Source organism: Homo sapiens, chromosome 11, assembly GCF_000001405.40.
Source record: "Homo sapiens chromosome 11, GRCh38.p14 Primary Assembly".
Taxonomy (NCBI): domain Eukaryota; kingdom Metazoa; phylum Chordata; class Mammalia; order Primates; family Hominidae; genus Homo; species Homo sapiens.
This window is the reverse complement of record NC_000011.10, coordinates 123578445-123601114: the sequence shown is the minus strand read 5'-3', so window position 1 is coordinate 123601114 and position 22670 is coordinate 123578445. Positions and strand designations below refer to the sequence as shown.

The window sequence follows — 22670 nt, the reverse complement described above, 5'->3', positions numbered from 1 at the left end:
ATCCAAGGCTCATATTCCCACCCTCCCCATTCTCTATTATAGCTTCCAAGCTTCCAGGCAACTTAAGACAGTCCCTACACCTGCAGCCTGCCAAAATTATTCAAACTAGCCAATCCTAGACCTGCTCGGCCTGCTTGCCCTGCCTCCCCTACTCCTTCCTGCAAAAACTACAATAAAGGCTCTGCCCACTTCTTCCCCTTTCCCTTTCCATCTCCTGACTGACCCTGGTGCTTCCCTGGTGGCCCTCATCCTGCTGTGCTTCCTATTTCTGGGGGTCTGTGAATTTAAGGACTTCTTTCTTCAGGGCTGCATGCATTACCATAACTGATTAGAGAAAATCCTGAGACATTTCAAAGCAGTGGAACTGAAGCCCCTGAAGACAATGAGTGCCTTACTCCTGGGGGTGTTGAGGCCATTCGTGGGAGATTATATGCTACTTTCAGGACTCAGGCCAATACCATCAGTGGGAGAATACTATCAGTGGGGGATTCCCAGAACCCTGAGGAGACAAAGGCTTCTCTAGAGATAGCCAGTCCCACAGTAAAAGCAAACTCGGCCGTACTTACCTTTTCAAGGAGAGCATTCTGCCAGAGCCGGAACATCATCATATATGTCCTATCCCGGGCCCCAAACGAAGTGAAGAAGTGCTAGATTGGAAAAGAAAATAACAATAAATATCTGTTGAGTTACAATATAATTAAGAGGGACATGGTCCTCCATCCTTTAAGAAAAGATACTGACTTCATCCTCAAACACTAATGACTCTCAGTTACCTGTGATCACGTACATCCGCTTTAGTGATGGGGTCAGCACACCAGAGGCCTGGGTACCTGATACTGTTAAGTTCCCAGTGTGACAAAGTCCTTCCACTCTTACCCACACTTTCCTCAGTGCTTTTCTCCCTGTTTTGAAATTCTCATCTCCATAAGAAATGTCCCTCACCCACCTACTGGAACTGGGTAAGGGGTGAGCTATGAACTAGCCTAAATGGAAGGACAAGACAAACCCACAATCTACTAATCTGCCGACCTATTTCATTCATTCAACAAATATTTGAGTATTAGTATGTATTAGGCACTAATCTACATGTGTGAGGGACAAGAAACAACACAGAAAGAGATCCTGCTCTTGTGGAGTTTACCCATTAAACAGACAGAAAGAAAGTAATGAAGATTTTACTGATCAACCACAAGGTGGTCCACAAATGCTATTTCACTTAAACCACACAAAAAGCCTTAGATAATAAACAAAGCTGACAACTAATAAAGGGTAACAGGCTGTTGAGGTTAGGCAACTTGTATAATCAAGAAGCTGGTTAGTGTCCAAAATATAGGTCAAACCAGGCAGAGCGCCATGGCTTACGCCTGTAATCCCAACACTTTGGGAGGCCGAGGTGGGTGGATCACCTGAGGTCAGGAGTTCGAGATCAGCCTGGCCAACATGGCGAAACCCTGCCTCTACTAAAAATACAAAAATTAGCCAGGCGTGGTGGTGAGTGCCTGTAATCTCAGCTATTCCGGAGGCTGAGGCACAAGAATCACCTGAACCCAGAAGGCAGAGGTTGTAGTGAGCCAAGATAGTGCTACTGCACTCCAGCCTGGGTGACAGAGTGAGACTGCGCCTCAAAAAACAGCAACAACGAGAGGCCGTGGTGAAGGGAAGATGGAGACAATACTGGAGCAGCAGCAGTGCTATCATGAGGAGAAGGAATGGCTCATGGATGTCATGGCCAAAGAGATGCTCACTAAAAAGTCCATGCTCTGGGACCAGATCAATTCTGATCACTGCACTCGGGCCACGCAAGATAGGTATATGGAGGTCAGTGGGAACCCAAGGGATTTGTATGATGATAAGGATGGATTACGAAAGGAGGAGCTCGGTGCCATTTCAGGACCCAAGGAATTTTCTGATTTCTGTAACAGACTCAAGCAAATAAAGGAATTCCACCGGAAGCACCCAAATGAGATCTATGTGGCAATGTCAGTGGAATTTGAGGAGCTCCTGAAGGCTCGAGAGAATCCAAGTGAAGAGGCACAAAACTCGGTGGAGTTCACAGATGAAGAGGGATATGGTCGTTACCTCGATCTCCATGACTGTTGCCTCAAGTACATTAACCTGAAGGCATCTGAGAAGCTGGATTATATCACATACCTGTCCATCTTAGACCAATTATTTGACATTCCTAAAGACAGGAGGAATGCAGAGCATAAGAGATACCTAGAGATGCTGCTTGAGTACCTTCAGGATTACACAGATAGAGTGAAGCCTCTCCAAGATCAGAATGAACTTTCTGGGAAGATTCAGGCTGAATTTGAGAAGAAATGGGAGAATGGGATCTTTCCTGGATGGCCGAAAGAGACAAGCAGTGCTCTGACGCAGGCTGGAGCCCATCTTGACCTCTCTGCATTCTCCTCCTGGGAGGAGTTGGCCTCTCTGGGTTTGGACAGATTGAAATCCGCTCTCTTAGCTTTAGGACTGAAATGTGGCAGGATCCCAGAAGAGCGAGCCCAGAGACTATTCAGCACCAAAGGAAAGTCCCTAGAGTCACTTGATACCTCTTTGTTTGCCAAAAATCCCAAGTCAAAGGGCACCAAGTAAGACACTGAGAGGAACAAAGACATTGCTTTTCTAGAAGCCCAAATCTATGAATACGTAGAGATTCTCGGAGAACAGCGACATCTCACTCATGAAAATGTACAACGCGAGCAAGCAAGGACAGGAGAAGAGCGAGAGGAAGACGAAAAAGAGCAAATCAGTGAGAGTTAGAGTGAAGATGAAGAGAACGAGATCATTTACAACCCCAAAAACCTGCCACTTGGCCACTTGGCAAACCCATTCCCTACTGGCTGTATATGCTTCATGGCCTAAATATCAACTACAACTGTGAGATCTGTGGAAACTACACCTACCGAGGACCCAAAGCCTTCCAGCGGCACTTTGCTGAATGGCATCATGCTCATGGCATGGCATGAGGTGTTTGGGCATCCCAAACACTGCTCACTTTGCTAATGTGACACAGATTAAAGATGCTGTCTCCTTGTGGGCCAAACTGAAATTGCAGAAGGCTTCAGAATGATGGCAGCCTGACACTGAGGAAGAATATGAAGACTCAAGTGGGAATGCTGTGAATAAGAAGACATATGAGGATCTGAAAAAACAAGGACTGCTCTAGTGTTCAGGGATGTAGCTCAGCTTTGGGGCTAGCCCAGGCTTCCCTGAGATCTGCTTGTTCTATTTCTCCCAACCAAATCCTCTTAAAGACCTTTTGCTACTTAGTTTCATGGTCTAGCATGCAACTTGTAGAAACAAGGCAGGCTGGCAGAATGCAGGTTTGAGATGTGTTTTATGTTTTATATTTAAAAAGATTCTGCAAGAAAATAAAACCAGACCTTGTTCTGAAGCCCAGGGTTATGGACTAACTCAGTGCGTCTGGTCTTAATGCCTCCATACCTCTTTCTCACCAACTTCAGAAGTAGCTGAGATTTAATGGGCACCTGTTATGCTACACATCATGGCAGGTAAATCTGACCTGAGCTCTTTCCCCACCCTCCTTTGTTGCTACTTCCCTGAATGAGTATTACCCCAGGATGAGGTCTGCCATCAGCTTAGTTAGCCATTGATGCAAATACTAGGGAAAGACTAGGAGGATGAGCCAGGGCTGCTACTAAGGACTAAGTGTGGCACCAAGGTTTGCCTTTATAGTTCCATAAAGAAAGGAGTTGGAGCTGGGTGCAGTGGCTTGTGCCTATAGTCCCAGCTACTTGGGAGGCTGAGGCAGGAGGGTTGCTTGAGAACCAGCCTAGGTAACATAGTGAGAGCCTGTCTCTTAAAAAAAAAAAAAAAAAAAAAAAAAAAAAAGGCATAGTGGCATGCACTGTAGTCCCAGCTACTAAGGAGGCTGAGGCTAGAGGATCCTTTGAGCCTAGGAGTTTGAGACCAGCCTAGGAGATATAGTGAGGCCCCATCTCAAAAAAAAAAAAAAAAAGGAGTTGGACTCTTTGGAATTGGCCTGCAGCCCAACATACAATGGAACTAGGACCAGCAGTCACTTCACCTGCTTGCTAGGTCAGAATGAGAGACTTTGATGGGTCTGTCTACCTGTTTCTTCTACAAGATCCCTATGACTGTAAAAGTAGCTAATATTCACATGTTCTCCAAGCCCAGGTAGCCATGGTAGAGTTGGGTAGAGTTGAGCAGCTGCCCCAGGATCCAAATCTAGTGTCTGAAATGGAAAGAACTAGGGCAGCCCAGGAAGGCACTGATCTGCCTTATAAGCACAGTCATCTGAAAGTCAGGCCTGCTGCAGGACAGGATCCCCCAGAGGCCCCATTTGCCTCTCAACACTCAGGCCTTCAATTGTTTTTTAATAATCTACTTAAAACAAAAACAAAAGCAAAAAACAACAACAACAACAAATATAGGTCAAACCAAACACTATCTGACCCCAAAGCCTCCTGGCTCTTGCCACTGAACTGCCTGAGTCCAAGGGAACTGTAAACTTGGCCTTCAGCAGAAACCCAGTCTACCCCTAGCCTTGAACCTCTTCATCTTCAGGCTCTAGTGAAAAGTTTGTTCTGTCCTGAATTTTATCCAACGTATTCTCCCCATACTGATAAGGACAATCCATTTTCTATCAGACTCCCCATCCTCTTGAGAGATAATCAGCTAAGCTGATACATAATGACGACTTCTTAACATTTGTATACTGCTTTACAATTTTCATATATGTTTTCATATATGTGATATTATTTCAAGACTGTGTTAAATAGGTATTGCTGGCTCCATTTTGCAGGTGAAAAACTTAGGCTTAGAGATATTACCCAACACGCTTACTGTCGATGGACTCAAATTCAGGTATTCTGGCTCCAGGTCCAATGTTTGGCCACTCTATCCTCCCGCTGCTCAGCCTCCCCCAGCCTGTCCACCCAGGAGGTGCTTCCTGGAATCTGCATCGCCCTTAGCGCCTCTCATCCCAATCCTATTGGCTTCCACATTCATGCGATTCAAGAAAGGGCAGAAATACAAGAGTAGGAGGAGTAAGGGAGGATTAGAAAGGCCAGAGTTAGACTCCACTTACCTTTTCTGAATCAGTGCAAACTTGGATGGCATTGGGAATGAGGCGAGCTGTTTTTTCTTTAGTCATGGAACAGATGTCTTTCAAACGGACTGTCAGCTGGCATCCAAGAGGACAGAGAATGGGCAACAAGCAAAGTGGGGCATTAGTAAGTCAGGTAAACAGTGTTCAGGGGGCGCCAGTGTAGACAGAGGCAATCAGATCACATATTTATAACCCTGGAAGAGGCCGCATTGGTGATCATCTGGTTTACCCCTTTATTTCACAGTGGGCAGACAGCAAAGTGGGGACTGAGCCTTGTCTACAGCCATGAGTATCTTGATTCTTGGGCAAAGAGCTTTCTAATTTCTATACAGTCTGCTAAATGTGCAGAGGTCCTGCCATTATTTGCCACTTACAGAAACACAGAATATTGGTGCAGGATGTGGCCATATAAATCATCTAGTTAGGCTGGGCACAGGGCTCACATCTGTAATCACAGCACTTTGGGAGGCGGAGGCGGGCGGATCACCTGAGGTCGGCAGTTCAAGACCAGCCTGACCAACATGGAGAAACCCCGTCTCTACTTAAAAAATACAAAATTAGCGGGCGTGGTGGCGCATGCCTGTAATCCCAGCTACTCGGGAGGCTGAGGCAGGAGAATCGCTTGAACCCAGGGGCTGGGGGCAGGGGCGGAGGTTGCAGGGAGCCAAGATTCTGCCATTGTACTCCAGCCTGGGCAACAAGAGTGAAACTCTGTTTAAAAAAAAAAAAAATCATCTAGTTAATCTTTCTCTTCCTTAGTATACGAGATGAGGAAATAGAGGCAAAGAAAGGACTAGCCTAAAATCACACCGCTGATTAGTTACAGAACCCAGAAATTGTGCAAGCCGGTTCTTTAAAGTCCCAAGGCCAAAGCCCTTTCTACTTGACTATGCCTCCTCCTGCAGTCACTCATGCCAAATATTTGCCTGCATTTGACAAAAGCAAATGTTCCCAGTCCTCTCTTCCACACCCAAAGGGGAGGGAGGGAGGGGAAGACATGGCAGAGGAGACCTGATTATTGGGACTTAGAATTGAATATCTTTCAAGACTCAGGCATGCTTTTGTTAATTACGCAAAGGCTTGGGAAGAGCATGAAGTCAGCAAAAGGAAGAAAGCGAGGGCAGCTTGCTCAGCCATAGCCAAGGAGACAGCCCAAGGGAGCATGCCCAGGTCTTTACCAGAGTTTCCCAGCGGAAGATGTTGCTGTAGAAGCAGATCCAATTTTCAGAGAGGTAGAGTCGGCCCTGAAGGAGAATGTCTCTTTGGAGTGCACATGAGTAATCTGTGGTAGGAGCGGAGGTAGGGGAGCTCAGAGGCAGGAAGCATTTTCGGCAAACCACTGCAGAGTAGGCATGTCATCCCTCCCACCAGCACTGGGGGAGCCCAATGCCCACCACGGACAAGGGGTGCCAGACACTTGAACTAGCAGCCAAGGAAGTCCCTACCATCTCATGATGAGGAGCATAAAGGTGGTGTGATGTGCAACTGCCTAGAGGCAGATAAATAAATGTGAAGGCAAAGTGGGCCAAGGAAGCAAGAGGTGGAAAAGACCAACAAAATTCAACTAACTTCCCTCCCCAGTCCACAACTATGCTAACCCCTTCTGCCACTGGGCCAACTGCAGAGATAAAAATGCCAGTGACTCACTCCAGGTTGGGCTCTTGAGGCTGCCACAAGCCTGATACTCAGCCTCGAGCCCTGACAGCTGGGGCCAGGGGTCTGGACAGCCTCTCTCCCTGTTCCCTTGCTTACCTGGGTTGGCTTGAGGCCTCTAGAGAGAAGCACCCTGAGTGCTATGCCGGGGGCTCCCCAGACTTCCTTCCCATCCCCTCCCAGGTCACCCAACTCACCAACAATGAGGCGCTCCGTGTCTGGAAGCTGCTTAAAGAGCTTTCTGAAGTCTTCATTTCTCTGCTTGTAGGTGGGGCTTAACACCTGCGTGACAATAGCCAAGGTTAGTAGGATGTACCCCGGTTCTGTGGGGTTAGGAAGGAAGGGCAAGATGAGGAGCACTTGCTTGTGTGTTTAAAAAGCAAAGATGAGGCTCTGCCCTCCCACAGACCCTAGGAGGCCAGGCTGAGGAACGGCGCCTCGGTGTGGAGAAACACAGTGGGGAGAATCTGGTGCTGGGAAACACTATGCAGCCAGGGCCTCCACCAGTGAGAAATGCCAGACACAGCAAGGAGGGGCTCTCGTTATATCCCGTAAGAGAAAGGAAGGAGGGACACCTCCAGGGTGCTTCCTGGTATCCACCATGCCAGCTACTGCTGTTCTGCCTTCTGCCAGCACCACCTTGACAGTGAAGCAGGGACCCAAGAAGGCTGCCCAGCCCCCCATGATGTTGCCCAGAGCACCTCTCAGAAGAAGGTGTTGTCGTGATTATCAGAGTGAGCACTTGGCTGTGTGGGAAAGACATGATTTTCTAAGAAATCACATAAAACCAGTACTGCAATAAGCGCAGAGATAGAGAATTAAAAAAACACAACGGGCACACGAGAGGCATCCAACTCCCCTCTCCATCCTTACATTATCTAAACCAATCCTTACAGCATCAAGGAAGAGACCAAGGCCAGAGAGAAGCCCCCTGCCCCAGGTCCTCAGCTGGTCAGTGTCAGATCTCATGACCCCTGGTCCTGTGCTCACTTCCCCCCACTGCAACATGATACCCAGAAACTGCCTTAGCAAATCCTCCTTGGAAATCCCATGAGCCAGCTGAATACACAGAAATCCTGCCCTTTGAGGGCTTACAATCTTGTTTGTTTGTTTGTTTGTTTGTTTGTTTGTTTAGACAGAGTCTCGCTCTGTCACCCAGGCTGGAGTGCAGTGGTGTGATCTCGGCTCACTGCAACCTCCACCTCCCGGGTTCAAGCGATTCTCCTGCCTCAGCCTCCCGAGTAGCTGGGACTACAGGTATGTGCCACCTCTCCCGGCTAATTTTTGTATTTTTACTAGAGATGGGGTTTCGCCATATTGGCCAGGCTGGTCTCAAACTCCTGACCTCAAGTGATCCACCCACCTCGGCCTCCCAGAGTGCTGGGATTACAGGAGTGAGCCACCGCGCCCGACCCGAGGGCTTACAATCTTAAATTTAAAAAATAAAATAAAAAAGAAACTAAAAAGAAAATACGTGCCCACAAATGAGGAGCACCGGGGGTGACAGATGAAATCAAGTGCAAAACCTGGGACGAGCCACGCACGGCCAAACGGAGACACCCACACTCCACCTGTGATGCACTGACTACCTACACAGAGACAGCACTGCTGACCCTCAGCCTAGGGTGTAGCCAATGGCTACAAAAACAAAACAAAACGACAACAACAAAAAACTTAGAAAACAACATTCCTCTGGCCCCTATATTAGTTTCAAACTGGCACTGAGATATGGAATCAAGATGGCCCCCTAGCCTCTTAGAACAGAGTCCACACACTGAAAACCCCAGCTTGACCACCTGATCGCCAGTGAGTTCTCATTATGCCTAACTGACCTTCTAGAGCTGCTATGTGGCTAACATGGAGTTATCATCACCTACCAAGCACAGCCATAAGCCATGTGCATGTGGCACTGCATCAGACCCCAGATTATTTTTATTATCCCATTTTGCACTTGAGGAAATTGAGAAACAGAGAAGTTAAGCAACTTGGAGTGGAATATGAGTGAGGCAGTCTGACTCAGTGCTGTCTGAGCCCCTACTCTGTGCTGCCTCTGGAGGGTAACTGCTCCTGGTCCTCCTGCCAAGAGGAAGCAGAAGGGCTTCCCCAAAAGAGCACACTCCCTTGAGAATGAGATATTTACCTGCTTTGCGGCCCCTGCTAGCCTTCCAAGCCCTCTACTAGGTCTTCATACTTACAGAGTTCCAGTGTCAGCCTGAGGAGCAGCCGACCAGGAGACCCCAAACACACTTCAGGTGAAACCGGATGTCAGGCCTCCAACCCCCTGAAGCCCCAAGTCTTCCTATTTCTAATTTCCTGTCCTAGTGCCTTCTCCCCCTTGCTTCTCACATATCCAGTAATAGCTCAGGTATCCACAGAGGTGGAGGTACAGGGCGTTTGGCCACCATCTCCAACCCGCAGGCAAATCGAGGGGGCCGCTACTTTCCTTAAAACAAAGCTGTAGCAGTGGCAGGGAGAGGGGAGAGTGAATCCAGCCCTGGCCTGCTAAGTCAGCCAGTCTGGAAACTCCTTTATCCAGGCTTCCCAACACAAGCCTATTCCACAAGGCTGTTGTGTGCATGGCAGGCTCATCAGTTGGGCATGCTGGGCCTGCCACCATGCAGCCTCTCGAAGCCAGGGACCCCAGCCCTCTCCCTCCTCCACCCCCAAAGGCGGGGCCTGGCTCACCTATTTCAATTTAAAATGGTCAAATAATTTCGGTTCCAAGATTGTCAAATCTGGGGCCTTCGGGTAGGAGAGCCAAGTGGCATAACAAGGGTGCAGAACTACCACAGAGACTCAGAGAAACTGAGTCACACACTCACGGCTGGGATTTCCTCAGATCCGTGCCAGCAACGGTGTTCAGCGGCAGCAGGTGCATGGCCAAGCTGCTTCAGGTACCACTGCAGCAGCTGGCTCTCCTGCTCCAGCAGAAGGCTCCAGAGGACCCCCGACTCCGTCAGTGATTCCATTGCCCAGCACGGCTGCCCCTCCCAACGACGCCTGGCTCCCTGAGCACTGACTCCCGACTGTCCCCACACGATGAAAACAACTGGTCTCCCCTGGCTTGACTGTGGATGGGTGGCCTCTGGTTTCTCAGCAGAGGGCCTGTGTGACTCTGACAGGTGTCCTTTCTGCTCCTAGAGCTGCATGCCCAGCATGAAGCTTCACAAGTGAGCCGAGGTGGTCAGCGTGGTTCTCAGGACAAGCTGGCCAGCCAGTCTCCCATGGCGGGCTCTGCTTTCTTCTCGGCTGGTCCACGGGCAGAGAGTAGCCCAGAGGTGGTGTGGTCACGCACCTCCACCTGGTCAGTGCAGACAGTCACCCCAAGGGTCCAGAGGATGCAGATGGCATGGCAGGTGCCCAGGGCCAGCTGGAGGTCCGGGAGGCAGGCCCCTGGGTGGACAAGCAGATTCTGCAGGACAAGGATGATCCACAGCCGGGTCCAGGGTCTAACCCCGCCAGTCACTTAGACGCAGCAGAGTGACTCATCGTTGGTCTGAAACTCCAGCAAAGGAACCGAATGCCCAGCTCCCCAGTCCTGGTCTGTCCCACAGAGTGGCACGTTTAATCAACCTCTACCCTGGGCGGGCACTGGACTATGACTCACAGCCCTCACCCAGGCAGAGCAGCCACCACTGGCTGCAGCAACAGGGCCTGCTCTCAACCCCAGCCCAACACACACCCCTTTCCTCAGCCCCTGCTCTGCTCGCCTGACCAGCAAACAGCTTCTTTGTTAGAGTCACCCGTGGCAGAGAGGGAGGGAAGAAGGGAGGCAGGGCAGGTGGGTGGGAAGAGCTGGGCCCTACACATGCTTCAAGTTACAGGATCTGGGTGATGGTCCCGGCCAATGTCCTCCAGTAACCCCCAGCTGAGCCTGGCCTCCCCAGCAGATGTTTCCTGCAATGGAAAGTTGCTGGCCAGGGCTCCACATGGAGGCGTGGAGTAGGGAGGGGAGGTGGCAGGGCACTGCTGTTAGGATGAAATCTGAAATGTGAGACTCAAGTTGCCAGGGACTTCTTGGAGACACTCTCACACCTCACCAACCCATCCATCCGCCAACTTCCCCAAAGCAGCAGTAGCAGCCTGGGGATTTTGCTGATCCAGTTTCAGACACGCTGGTGGTGGAGACGCTGAGATCAACAGCTTCGGGATCTGTCTGAGGCACCCTCTTCCTTCCCATGGACCCTATACAACCTTCAGCATTAGCAAGAGGGGGACCAAGCCCAAAAAGACCGTCAGATCTTCAGGTCAAAGTAGCAATACTAAAAGCACAGATTTTGGTCCTCAAAGCAGCAAAATCCAGGGAAATGAAAGCCAGGCCAATGGGGCAAGAAAGCCTCCAGACCAAGAAGCTAGGGACAGGGATGAGACAGCAGTGGGGTGGGGAAGATGTGGATTCCCAGGAAAAGTCAGACCCTTAAAACAAATGGGGCTGCTCCCTCACTCTCCCCAGCTCTGCCACCTTGCCAGGAGGGTCTTGGCCCGCATAGGATTAGGAATGGTGCTTTTGTCTTAGGAGTCTTGGTAATTTAATACAGCAGCCCCCAAACTTTACTGTACTTCAAAATGGCCCAGTGAACACATGTAAAAACGTAGATTCCAGGCTGGGCACAGTGGCTCGTGCTTGTAATCCCAGCACTTTGGGAAGCCAATTCGGACGGATCACTTTAGGTCAGGAGTGTGAGACCAGCCTGGCCAACATAGTGAAACCCCGTCTCTACTACAAATATATATATATATATATATATAAAAATTAGCCACACATGGTGGCAGGTGTCTGTAATCCCAGCTACTCAGGAGGCTGAGGCAGGAGAATTGCTCGAACCTCAGAGGTGGAGGTTGCAGTGAGCGGAGATCGCACCACTGCACTCCAGCCTGGGCGGCAGAGAGAGACTCTCAAAAAAAGTAGATTCCAAAGACGCTAATTTAAAGGAACCTGGATTCTCCCAGGTAAACAGTGTTGGAGAAAGTAGAAGAGTCTGACTCCTCCTGCAAACCCTCCCCTAACAAACTCCTACAACCCTCTCTAGATGGACACCCCACGGATGCAGACGCAGCTCTCCATTCATGGTGTAGCATGTCTCACTCTGTCTGAAGGACACCTCCAGGAAGGATCTATGCCTCAAACAGGTTCATATCTTCTACTGCACTTGCCGTGATATGTTTCAAGGACAGGTTGAGCATCCCTAATCTGAAAACATGAAACCCTTTGAGCCCCAACATGATGCCGCAAGCAGAAGACTCCACACCTGACCTCACGTGACACGCTGCTCATGTGACACATTCCGGTCACAAACAAAGGTTTGTAGGAATGGAACACAGTCAGCACTTTTCTTTGTGCATAAAATTATTTAAAATATTATATAAAATTATCCTCAGGCTATATGTATAAGGGATATAGGAAATAAATTTGGTGTTTAGACTTGGGTCCCAAGATATCTCATTATATATATATGCAAATATTCCAAAATCCAAAAAAATCAGAAATCCAAAACACATCTGATCCCAAACATTTTGGATAAGGGATACTGTATCAGGTGCTAAGAAAGTATTTACCAAGTGAATGCATTCCTTATCTACCTCTCAAAGGATGCCTGTTGACACTGCATCTTACATGTACACACGAAGATCCCTGATTCTATATGCTTGGCGTGTCAGTACCTGGTTGCTGCCAACACTCTCCCCAGCACACGTGCAAACTTCTCTTCGCCCTGCATGTCAGCCCTATCCCGAGCAGCGTGGCAGGCAAACGTAGCAAGTCCATTTTCCAAGGTGATCAGAATGCCTCCCTTGGGGTGACACCAGACCCCAGTATGTAGGCTGTAGGTAGCTCCAGGAGGCTCTGGATCCTTACAGTAACTACCCAAAAACATTTGAGTATTGCTACAGGCCAAGTGGCTGCCTGAGCTGTAAGGGGTGAGATAGAGACAGGATACGCCCTGTGAGATAAAGCCCTGGGAGATGAGTCCCGTACGCAGAAGGCTTTGTCTCCCCCACACCCATGCCAAGGGCTGGGCAGGGCTGGGTGAGAGCCAGCAGAGAACGAATTGACCCTGGGCTAAACATTAACTCTACGGCAAACACCAGGAGCTGGGACCAAGTGGTACCCTCTTCCCAGGGATGGCGAGAAGGAGGGGGTGGAGGAGCCCAGGAGAAAACAGATGGATTTCGGTGGGGCATTGATCTCAGCTAGGAAGAAACCAGTTAAGATCCACACAGGAAACTCTGACCTTACAGCCAAATCTGGATAGGCAGAAGGCAGAGTGGGACGGGAGACGAGGACGTAACTGAGCAAAGGAGGGAAAGGGAGACTGAGGCAGGCATGGGGGCTATGGAGAAGGGTAGAGAAGGGGTGGGGCTGGGCTGGGCTGGGGGCTCATCTGAAAAACTCAGGAAGGGAGGCAGGAAGACCCTTCAAGTTGGGAGTAAATAGAGAGGGGAGACAGACAGAGGAGGAGGAGCAGTGTCAGTCCTGGAGCAACACCAGGTTCGAGGCAGGTCTCCTACCCTCTCCGCTGCCCAACCCCAACACCCTGGATTCCATTCCTACAAACCTTTGTTCTTTTGCTTTCTCGCTTGTGCCAGCCACTCCCCAGGCTTGGCACTATCCCTCCCTCTCCTCCACAAAGCTGCAGCCCTAACTGCAGGTGCTTCAGGCAAGCAGGGTGCTAAGTCTCAGGCGGCTGCCAGGGTCTGGGCTCCTGTGCTCTGATCTCAGAAATGCTCCTTCTGGGGCTGCCATGGAGAAGACTGCCCGCAGGAATGCGCCAGGAGGCCAAGGAAGGAAACCCCTGTGATGTTATGCCCCGTTGGGGGCTGAGGGGGAGTAAATTTCACCCCTCTTGCCCCAGTGGCCCTGGCCAGGTTGCCCCTCAACTCTGCCCTTGGCTCCCTGCTGAAGGCAAAACCCTATTTCTGCTTTTCCCTCCATCTCATGTCTACTAGGGCAGCTCCCTTGATCTGAAGGCCCTGATGAATATGACTGGGGTGGTAGACTGGGGCTTCGGGGGTAAGGAGGAGTACATATAATTGGGCATGGGAGGACTCAGGGCACCTGTAGATGGCACTGCCTTCAAACCCCACTCTGGACCTGACACTCTCCTGCTATGGCCTCTCCCTGTGTCCCTGGGGTCCAGCCACTTGCCTCCGCATGACTCACTCTTTAGACCAAGCATGTCTGTCATCATGGCAATGGCTCCTCCCTGGCTGGTCATGTCAAAGGAAATGCTTTTGTCTTCTGCAGAGAGGCAGCAGGTGAAGGGGAGGCTGGGGCATGGACTGGTTGGTGGCTGGGCTTTTCCCACCAGACCCAGGCTGCTCCAGTGGGCCTGAATGCTCTTGCCACTATCAGCGATTCTGCAGGGCACTGGCCCTCACTGCCCTGACTCCAGCCAGGGGTTTCCTAAGCATCCCCAGGGCTGGGCGTTACAATGCCTTTACCTATCTGAAGGACGTCTAGTGTAACGAATGAGCCTCAGATATCAGAATGGCTGCAGCACTGACCCTGGGATCCGGAGAGAGGTTATAGAGGGACAGTCAGCAAAGCTGAGAAGGGGAGAGGGATCCTGCCTGAAGGGCAGATTCCAACCAGCCCAGCAGAGGCAAGGCAGGAAGGTGGAGCTCCCTGAAGGAACACAGAAAACCAGGTCAAAGCAGCAGGGGCAGGGCAAGGGCCTCCTGAAGAGGCGCAGATGACAGCTGTGGAGGGGTGCTGCGGAGAGGAGCTCGTTCAGCTGCAGCTCCTAAGGAGGCATCTGCACATGAAAGCACGGACATGAGCACTGCACACTGAAGGAGCAGGGTGCCCTGTCACCCGAGGGCGGACCCCCAGAGGGACCGCATGAGTCCAGGAGAGGACCGCCCCACACACTCCTCAGCAAAGAGCCCCTTGTGCGCTTGGCCTCTGAGAATGAATGATCTGAGCTAAGTGGAGAGTCAGGGATGTTTCTGTAATGCACTTGGGATGAGAGGGTGGAAGGTGAAAGGAGACAAGTGAGAATTAATAGAGGAAGAGGCAGGACAAGGCTGGGAAAAGAGAACATCTAGGAGGATGATGCAGAGTCGCTGAGGTCCAACAGCTTCTGCACAGACATGGTGCAGGTGGAACCATCAGAAAGCAGGACTCCGTCACGCCCAGCTCCTCCGCTGGCTCTCATATGTGTCATCCGAACCCCTGACTTCTGGCCCACCCCATCCTCCAGCCAAGAGACAGCATCTGCTTCTACCCCATCGCTATGCTGAGTACTCAGGCGGAGGCTAAGGGAGAAGGAAACAGGGGGAAAGGATGGCGGAAAGAAGGGGAGAAGTAAAGCCTGTTAGAATCAGACAGAGAGGGAAACCTAGCCGGGAGAATGGAAATCAGAGAAAGAAGCTAATGGTAGGAGATTAAAGGAAAGGAAAGGGGTGGAGTCAGAAAGCAAAGGGCTGAGAAGAATCCAAGGAAGCACAGGCTGAGACAAAACAAAAGTCTGAGCTAAAGAGCAATAAAAAGAGAAATGACAGATGAGAAGAGGAAGGAGATTAGCAACAAGGACAGGGGCTGGCCTGTCCAAACGGAGATGTCTGAACTAACAGGCCTGCAGCCACGTGGGTCCTGTTCCCCTATGGGGGCCTGAGTTTGTGCGATGCTGCTTAAAAAGGTGCAAGGGAGAGTTGAGTGAAGGATGCTGGGGTCCCCATGACAGCTGGGCTGCGGGTCGCTCCCAGGAAGCTCAGCACTCATCCCCCTCCCCTCTTCTGACGCCACAGGCCAGGAAACCTCCTAGAAGGTAAGGGGGTGGCTCAGAGATAGAAGTAGAGTGTGGCTTCTCTCCCACCCCAAGATACCTCAGCCCATAACTCTCTCCACAACTCAGCACAGCCCACCAAATTCTGCCTTGTTTGCGGTGCTGGGCAGGTGGCAGCCAAGGCTTGCAAATCAACAGCACCCAGGACGGGCTGGTCACTGGGCAGCAGGATGTTGGCAGCCACAGGGCTCGTGAGCACATGCCTGACTTTGAGGAACCGCCCAGCGCCAAGTAGGAAAACACACACAGCCCACACAATTGATCTGCAACCCTGTCCCTACATTAAACCCACACCTCTCCCCTCCAGCCCATCCCCTGGCCAGAGTACCCTCCTCAGCTCTGTCCTTCACAGCCACAGCTACTCCATGCCCATATCTCCTGCTGCAGCAGAACCTGGTGTGTCCGGGGAGGGGGCAAAGATGGCTTTCCCAGGATTCATCAGAGTTAGGTGTGAGGAGGGCAGGCTCAGAGAGGCAAAGAGGGTCATCTGAGGTCAGCCCCTCCACTGTGAAGTCCCCAAAGAGCAGAACACACGGCGGGGGCCAGCTGAGAGCCTCAGACAGCTGCTCTGCAGAGGAAAACGTCCAAATCCCACCACCCAGTTTGTGTGAGTGACAGGCGGTGGCCTCTGCCAGGCCTGCTTACCCCACAACAGTTTCTAGGTATGCAGCAGCTGCACAGGGCGCCCCAGGATGACCTAGACAGTGGCCCCACGCCACACCTTCACCACAGTCCCAAGCACCAGGAGGCCTTGTAGGAAGGGCACGCTTTTGCAGCTGTTGAAGGGGTACTTGGGACAGGGGTCAAATCCCAGCACATGGGTTGACTCTTCTATCAATGGGGGAAAGTTTTCTCGCTGCATTTGCCCCAAAATGTTAAGGGAAGAAAACTAAGTTCAGGCCCCCAGGCTGCCCCAGCACCAGAATTCTGTCAGGGTCTGGAATGGCCACTCCCTCCCTGACTGGTCTCCTCTTTTAGGGTTGACAGACCCTTGTCTAAGAGCCTAGGTGAGGCAGGGGATACAGCTGGCCACGCCTCCTTGGTCCCCTGAATGCAATCCTCCCTCCCCAAGGCTGCCCTGTCCTGCTGAAGAAAATAACCGCTGCAGCTGGTTTAGGAGCAAAGGGGCTGCCAAGGAAAGAAGCCCACAGGAAAGCCCAACCGCACCCCACACCCCTTCCCCCAACCTCCATTCCCCCTCCCATTTCTCAGGTACCCAACAAGAAGGGAAACAGGAATACTTACATTATACCAACTCTGGCTTTTCTGAAAAGAGAAAATGAAAGAGAAGGTAGAATTAGTCAGGGAAGAAATGGGGGGAAGGGCCAGGGGGAAGGGCACACAGACAGCGGAGGGTGGGCAGGGAGGAGGGGTCCAAATGCAGCTGAATGCTTCCCATGTGGTTGCTCAGGAGGGGTCCTCCTTTCTCAAGGCAGTTCCAGAAAGGAGGCCCGGGAGCAGTCCATGCTGGAAGCCCACCGCGGGCGGGGTGGCAGGCAGCGGCAGCACCAGCTAGAGCTCAACCGGAAGGGAGTCGGAGCCCCATCGCAAGGTTCTGATGGGGTGAGGGGCGCGCTGTGGGCATTGGAGACCCAGTCCCCAAATGGGCCCTGACCAGAAGCAAAATGCTGATGGCGGCCAACCCAGCCTTCTGCTCTAAGACAGCCCCCTGTAAAAGGCAGGGTGGGACACTTTCGAGGTAGAAAGGGGACTACCTAAAACTCCCTCCAACTGCACTCTCAGCAGGCGGGTGAGTAAATCCCTCCTGCGCCAAAAAATGGGCTGTACCTAAACTGCAATGGTCGGGGAGTGCCTGGGGGTTCTGCGTGGGGCAGGAGGTTGAAGCACATAATCACTAAGGGTCCATTCCAACCCAGTGGTGCCATAATTCAGAACAAGCAAAACAGACCCCACCCCAGCTCCAGAACTTAAGTGTTCTCCATTCCCAGACCCAGGAGGAAGGGGACCTGAATGTGTCTCAGGGGAACAGGAGGGATAGCTAAGATCGTGCCTTGTCTGTCTTCAAGCCCTATGGCCAGTAGTCCTTCATGTACATCCCCCTTGAAAGATAGATGGACACGCAGATAGACAAGCTTGTGTGCACATATACACACACATACTCATACACATACACGCACAAATACACAAGTACACACACATATACACAGACACACACACACACGCACACATACACACCACACACGTGCACACACACATACACACATGCACACGTGCACACCACACACATGCACACACATCCACACGTGCACACACACATTCACACACACCACACACACATGCACACACACATGCGCATGTGCACACACATTCACACAGACATGCACACATACACACCACACACGCACGAATACACGTACACACACATATACACAAACACATACACACCACCCACACATGCAGACATGCACAAATACATGTGCACATGCACACACACCACACATATACACACACATATACACACAGGCACATACATACACACAGAGACACACACATATACAGAGACACACATATATACACACATACATTCACACACATACACACGCACACACTTGCGCATGCACACACACACATGCCTAAGCTCCATCTCTCGGTGGAGCTTAGATTATTTTCAGTTTTAGGGATCGCTGGGTGGGGGAGCTTTGCTCACAGATCAATACCTTAGCTCCACCCAGAGGTCTGGATCCCCTCCACCTGGTGTTAAAGCGTCCCAACCCAGAAGGGCAGACAAGAGTAGCCATGGTCCTCGAATGTCTGCTGTGTCTAGAGGGAAGGAAGCGACTACGCACAAGGGTGGGTGTGTGCCCGCGGTGATGACCAGTGGCCATGTGATCTATCTCCCCCATTCCACCTGAACTCTGTAAAGACGGTCCACCTTCACCCCCCACAGTGAAACCAGTCCACAGAGGAGCTGGAGGGGGCTGAGGGGCCTCGCGTGGGTGGGGCTGCTTCTGAGCAGCTTCGTCCTCACACATGCCCTCGATGGCCAGGATGTGACTAGAGGCCAGTAGCAAGGCTCCCAGTCCCCCTCTGCAAGGTGCTCTCCAGGGTCACTTCCCAACCTGTCACCACGGTCCATCCAGAGGCCACACCCTCCCATCTTAGCCTCATCCCCACCTCCAATTCAGAGGTCTCAGCAGGTAAAGGGCCCAAATCCAAATATTAAAAACTATTTTTTCCTGACAAAGGTGCGGCCACATGGGAGTCCGGGACCTGAAAACTCGCCTCTAGGCATTGCAGCCAAGGCTACCCCCTTCTGGAGGGGGTGGATGGGGCAAGCAGGCTGCGTCTGGCGTCTGCGCCTAGGGATGGCTCACTTCCTGCGTCCTCACACAGAAGCCCTGATCCGAAGCCCACAGGGCAAGAGGCTGTGCAGATGTTCATTACAAAAGACACCTCCCAGCAGTAGGAAGGTGCGCTCTGGGAGCTGCCGGCCCCAGCAGCCCCACAGTCTCCTTGTGCTTCCTCAAATGCAACCCAGGTCACGAGATCCCTGCTTTACAACGGAGAAACCATCTCCCAAGCTCCCAGCTCCTCGTCTCAATGCCGTGACCTTCGTGTAAGACGCTGGGAGGAAAGGGGGCAACAGGAACATGGGCTGACAGGGGGACCCCGGATGCCTGTGACTCCTCCTGCACGGGGCTCCCTCCTGCCCCAGGTAGACAGAAGCAGATGGTCCCTTTGCATGGGCTGGCACATCGGCGCTTGTGCCTTCCAAATCTATGTGGAACAAAGTGTGAGGGTCACACACAGCCTCAGGCAGGGAAGCCAGTCCTGTCTTTAACCTGATCTGTGATGCTCTTATATCTAATGTTTGCTCTTTTGTAAAGCGTGGGTAAGAACATGTACTAAAGAACTGAAAAGAAACGTGAAACATACCAAGGAGTAGGACTGTGCTGAGGCTCTGCCCTGAACCAGCAATCTCCAGGCAGCTTCTTACCTGCTGCCACTGAGGGGCCACAGGAAAAATGGGTCCCCCCTCCAGCCACGTCCAAAGCAGCCCCCGAGCCTGTCCACTGTGGGCAGGGGTCCCTGAACTCTGCCCAGAGGCACATTCAATCCCCGTGGTTCTGCATTCCCGGAAATGAGTCCCAAAGGCTCTGCCAGACGGGAAGGACCCAGACCCACAGGGGCAGGGAAGTCAGAGGAGCTGCCGGCCTCTGGGGGTGAGAAGGGGCGTCCCTCATCCTCTGGCTTTAGTTTGCTGTAGCGCCCCTACCTGGAGGACCAGGCCAGAGGGAAGGAAGGCACAGAACCAGGGAGCAGCAGTGGAGCCTTCTCTGACAGCTTATAAACACATGGATTTGGCCAAAGAGGAAGAAGGGAGTCAGGACAAAGACACAGCTGTTGGGGACATGCTCGTTTCTATCATTTTTCCTAGAAGGTCTGAAGAGCAAGCACTTAAAGGAATGCAAGGCCCCTGGAAACAGACCCAGGTTACTGGGAGGTGGTTTCCAGAAACATCTCCCACCGCGAAGGCTCCGGGAGTCTGGAAGATTAAGTAAGGTGCGGGGTGTGGAGGAGGTAGGGGGGCAGGGACTAGGAGAGCTCTACATTTAGTAGGAGTTAGAAATAAAAAACAATTCTTACTTTGATCAGGTTAAGTCTGTCATACTGGAAAGAAAACCACAAAAATTAGATTTGAAAAAAAAAAAAAAGGAAAGTCAAAGAAGGGTCAGTGCCACAGCGCCAGCGCGATGCCCGCACCGCGGTGGGGAGGTGTGCAGCAGGGCGGGAGGAGGCGCGCTTTGCCGCACCTGCTGCATAGCGCCCTCAGGGCAGGTGGGAGAGCGGCAGAACGGCCCCTCGCTCCCTCTGGTGGCCACAGGCTGTCACTACAGAGCGGAAGCTGGGCGGTAGCACAAACTCATTGGGAGGGAAGTGCTGGGGCCGGACTGCACCTAGGAGGGTCGGCCTGGACAGCACAATGATGGATCCAGAGGGGTCGGGCCTTAGCGATCACCTGGTGCCATGCCTACATAGTAGCAAATGAGGAAACTGAGGCCCAGAGAAGGGAAGAAAGACACCGTGCATGGGACCTGACCCCAGGGAGAAGCAGAGGCACTGGCCAGCTTGCCCAAAAAATATAAGGCATGGTGTCCTCTAGGGGTGGCCAGGAGACAGGGAGTGAGGTGGACCAGCTACAACAATATCAGTAAAAACAGCTATGAAATGGCTTGCTGGGAAGACATGTGATTAACCCCAGAAGATGTTCCACGGGGAGGGGCATGTCCCCATCCCGCTACCAGAACCTCCTCTTTTTGCCGCACCATCTACTTCAGGCCCTGGCCTTCAAAGAACCTAATTCCCCTACTGGTTCTTGTGTTCCTCTTCTGAAGTCTGTGTGTCCTGCACATGCACGTCCCAGGCCAATGCAATGGCTCCCAGCTCCACGTGGGATGCTACAGTGTCCCTCCTGGCACAAGCCCGTCCTCTTTTAACTCCATTGAAAGGATGGCAGGGCAAGTGTCGATGGCAATGATCAGTGGGAGAATGAGGTGGGGAAGTGGGTAACCAATGTCAGAAAACTCAGAATGTGTCTGCCAGGGATGGGCATGGCGTCCACCCAATCTCCCAGGGGAAAGGAGACCTGCACTCACCCCAGCACCTCCCTCCTCAGTTCCTATGAAAAGGCCCAGTTTGGCCCCTGATTCCTGCTCAGCTCTCAGTCCCTTCATTATGTCTCCTTTTAGCATCTCCAAAACCCCACTCAGAATTCTACCTGGTCCCTGACGCCTGTCCTGGCTGCCCCACTCAAATGATTTATCCTACCTCGGAGCTTACAGAACATCCCCAACTACTCAAGAGCCAGGCTTAGGGTGTACAGAATCTGGATGGAAAAGTGTGCAGGAGCAGGGAGTGGGGAGCCTGATGCCCCTGTCAGGCCATATCCACCCTCTTGCCAGCTGAGCCTCGAGCACCCACTAGTCCCACATCAACCAGGCCAGAGGTGGGAGGCACTCAAGAGGGGGCTGCCACAGGGCATTTCAAAACCCCATTCCCAGATATCAGATATGCCTGCACCTGCCGAGCCGCTGGAGCCCACAGAGATCTCCTGCTGGCTTCCTCGCTCCAGGTAAAGTTCCTCCTTCCCTGTCCACAGCCAGGAACGGCCATTTAAAATCCTCACAGCCAAGATGTGCATTTAGTCTAAAGATCACAGACTACAGGATTAGCCGTGTCGCCCCTTGTGCTTCCCTTAGGAAAGGGAACAGCTGTTCACCCTCCTCCTCCCCAAAGCACGGAGAGACTTGGGACTATTATTAAGTCATCCTCGGCTTCCCCTTCTTCGGGCTGCATCCCACCTCCTTGCCCCATGGGCCTTGTTGTTCCACAACACCTATCGCTCACCCTCCACTCGCTGCACGTTCTCCTGTGGCCTCAGAATTCCTGGGCTCCCGGGAAAGACTCTGGCACTGGCCACATCTCTCCAGGTTCTGCCAATGTTTGCCAACCTCCAGGCATGGGCACCCCACCCTCTGGGAGAACAGCTTTCCCCTCTGATCATGATTCAGGATCCTAAGCACACCATGAACCCCAGTCTGGGCAGTGGTTAGAAATGCTAAGGGGTGCCCAGGTTGAGCAGCTCTCGAGTGGGGAGGAACAGAGTACGCAGGCAGAGCTCCTGAGGGCGTGGCTGCTGCACCAATGAACTCATCGACCTGAACCCCTGCCCCCCAGTCAGCGCAGCCCTCCTGCCATCCTCACTCACCACTGCTGGGCAATCCAGAATCAACCACCAAAGGGGAGGGGCCTGGAGTACAACCAGATGGGGTCTCCTGCCCCAAAGGAATGAAACTAACGCCAGGCAGGGCTCTGTTTCTCGACCGCACCATGTAAGGAGGGAATAAACTCCCAGCCAGAGGCAGTGTCCAGGGAGCAGGCAGACATGGGTGCAGGGTCGGGAGTGGGGGAGGGTCTGTTCTCCGACATCAGGTGCAGTGAAAATGGGCCTTCAATGACTTCCAAGCCAGCCTGCCGGGGGACAGTGGGGCCGGCCCTTCTGGGAAAGGGACCAAGCAGGATATAAGGGCCAGAATCGGCAGGGCCAGAGGGAGGGGGTGCTGAGCACTACAGACAGATCGACACTAGAGGGGAGATAAAAGGACAGAGAC

General features: G+C 52.1%; 1 protein-coding gene and 1 pseudogene across 42 annotated transcripts in view, besides 2 other annotated features; one reads left to right on the top strand and one right to left on the bottom strand.

Annotated features, from left to right (window-relative positions):
- Positions 1 to 22670, bottom strand: part of GRAMD1B (GRAM domain containing 1B) — a 269346-nt gene that overhangs the window by 26653 nt on the left and 220023 nt on the right. For 40 of the 42 annotated variants that reach the window (NM_001367421.2, NM_001367420.2, NM_001367419.2 and 37 more), the window contains 5 exons: positions 16783 to 16803; positions 6949 to 7033; positions 6277 to 6380; positions 5078 to 5173; positions 567 to 647 (listed from right to left, as the gene is read on the bottom strand). In NM_001367421.2, coding sequence (NP_001354350.1) covers positions 567 to 647; positions 5078 to 5173; positions 6277 to 6380; positions 6949 to 7033; positions 16783 to 16803 — 387 coding nt within the window. Of the gene's footprint in view, positions 1 to 566; positions 648 to 5077; positions 5174 to 6276; positions 6381 to 6948; positions 7034 to 9573; positions 10297 to 16782; positions 16804 to 22670 lie in introns of those variants that run through there. The other 2 variants (XM_011542933.2, XM_047427331.1) reach the window with 1 other exon arrangement.
- SF3A3P2 (splicing factor 3a, subunit 3 pseudogene 2) lies at positions 1641 to 4377 on the top strand (annotated as a pseudogene).
- Positions 20305 to 20914: an enhancer, noted in NCBI's record as "H3K4me1 hESC enhancer chr11:123450909-123451518 (GRCh37/hg19 assembly coordinates)". NCBI's record gives its function as "activates a minimal SCP1, AML or CMV promoter by ChIP-STARR-seq in naive H9 embryonic stem cells {active_cell/tissue: H9 hESC(naive)}" and the evidence as "EXISTENCE:reporter gene assay evidence [ECO:0000049][PMID:30033119]".
- Positions 21776 to 21998: a silencer, noted in NCBI's record as "fragment chr11:123449825-123450047 (GRCh37/hg19 assembly coordinates)". NCBI's record gives its function as "represses an EF-1alpha promoter that drives an FKBP-Casp9 reporter gene in an ReSE screen in phorbol 12-myristate 13-acetate-treated (for megakaryocytic differentiation) K562 erythroleukemia cells {active_cell/tissue: K562(+PMA)}" and the evidence as "EXISTENCE:reporter gene assay evidence [ECO:0000049][PMID:32094911]".